We start from the raw sequence: 2,081 nt of genomic DNA on the forward strand, positions 1-2,081 counted from the left end.
AAAATGCCCTAAGTTCTAGCTTTTTTCTCATTTGAATAAACCAGATGAACTTCAATAAATACACTGAACTTATCCTATGAGCAAAAATAGTGAATACATGATGATGTCATAACATAGAACATTAGCAGGAAAAAGGCCTTCAACATTCTGTGACTTCAGTCTCATTTCTCGATTAGTCTGTAATGGATGTTGTAGTATTTTAAAACTGTGAAACACGTTCATGGAAACATATAATCTTGAGAAAAATATAACCATGAGTAATTTATAAACCATTGCATTGATTTTTCATGGTATAGAATAGGGGCTTTTTTGTAAATATGTATTACATCTCTAGAAAAAGAATCCCAGGATTTTCCCTCCTGTGTTTTTGACTCGCTTCTTCATGGTCCATGACGCCAGCTGCGGTTGTCAGTACAATGAAACCAAACTGGTGGGATGGAAGCAGATTATTCTGCCATTTTTCTAGATTTTTAAGTTGGACATCAAATCTGGTGCTGATCACTCCACACTTGTGTAGCCTGCCTGTGAGGTTCACAACAATTTTCGCAGCTCTGTTATCATCAATGATTTCAAATTCGCCAATGTTATCATGCTTCATCATCACTGTTAGAAACCGGATGCTGACTTTGGAGCATGGCCCAATAAGAACCTAGCGTTTGCCTCTCTTTTCAGCATTGTTGATGCTCTGGAGAGCAACAGCCAGGATGTCCATGCACACCATTGTGGCAGTGCAGAAAGATGGAGGAAAGAGAATACAGGGACATTTTAAAAATAAAATCTATTTTATTCTAAGACAAAATAGGATTCAAAATTATATACTGAAGTACTTCTAATATAATAATATTTATTACATACAGAAGTAAGTTTTACTTTTTCCCATTTAACAAACATATACAGCTTAACTTACTATTTTAATTATGTAAGAAAAAGCATTATTTACATACAAATAAATTTTTTAATGTGTTGAATTTGACAGGTATTATTTGTATTAAAATATGGATTGAGAATTAACTATGTTTTGCAGCATCAGAATCTTAAAAATACTATAATCACGTATTATTTGGAATTATTGAACTTCACACTAATTATTATTTTTTAAACTTCCGTTCTGCTTCTAAGGACAAGACTAGAGAAATCTGGGGGGTGCTATTTACATTACGTCTCTACAGATAATGCATTTGGATATGGGCAGTCTTTATTTGCAACAAATGAACAGCCAAATTGGCCATAATCATTGCTATATTTCCCATATTCATTTGGAAGGACTGAAGACACAGTAATCTATTTTAAGAACCCTGATCACATGAGTGCACCAGACAGGTTCTGAGGCTCCTTTGTAGAGAGCCAGCACGGTGTGATGCTTAGGAGAGGGACCCTGGAGCCAGGTACCTTAATTTAAACCCACCTTCCCTGTTTCCTTGCCTTCCTACTATGCAGCTTTCTAGTTCTGTGACCTTTCTGCGCCTCAGGTTCCTCGTCGTAAAATGGGGATAACAACAGTGTCCATCCCATAAAATTGTTAGAGGGATTGAATGAAATAGTATTTTAAGGCGATTAGAACAGCACCTAGCACACAATACCTTCTATAGCATTATTAAATAATCATTTATATTCTCCTTACTAACTCCAATTAAAATTAAAACATCAGTGTTTTTATGTCCATTACTTGTATAAATTATGCCCTGATTTCCAAGGGTAAAATGATTCTAAAATGTGTAATGATTACAATTATAGTGTTTTCGTTTTTGTTTTTTCTGCTAGATGTCCAAACCCCGAGTGGCTGAATCACATGCATGATTATAGAATCTATCAGCCAGCATGCAAATTCTGTCCTTATTTACATATGTTCAGGTTCCTTCTACTTTAAGGGAAACTATTTAGATAATTATTTTTAGTTAAAATTGAAACTGACCACCTTATAAAACAGAACCTTCCTGGAACATCTTTACAAATTCCATAATTTGGAAAAGTGACCAACAGAATCTCTAGGTTTGAAGGCAGCTCATAGAATTTTGGAAAGCCTGATATGATTTTGGCTCAATATAGGGAAACATTTTCCATTCCTCAGAATTTATATACTC

At 34.7% G+C, this 2,081-nt stretch overlaps 1 pseudogene; it reads right to left on the reverse strand.

Moving 5' to 3' along the window:
• Positions 306 to 751, reverse strand: RPS15AP20 (ribosomal protein S15a pseudogene 20; annotated as a pseudogene).

Source organism: Homo sapiens, chromosome 6 (genome assembly GCF_000001405.40).
Source record: "Homo sapiens chromosome 6, GRCh38.p14 Primary Assembly".
Lineage (NCBI taxonomy): Eukaryota > Metazoa > Chordata > Mammalia > Primates > Hominidae > Homo > Homo sapiens.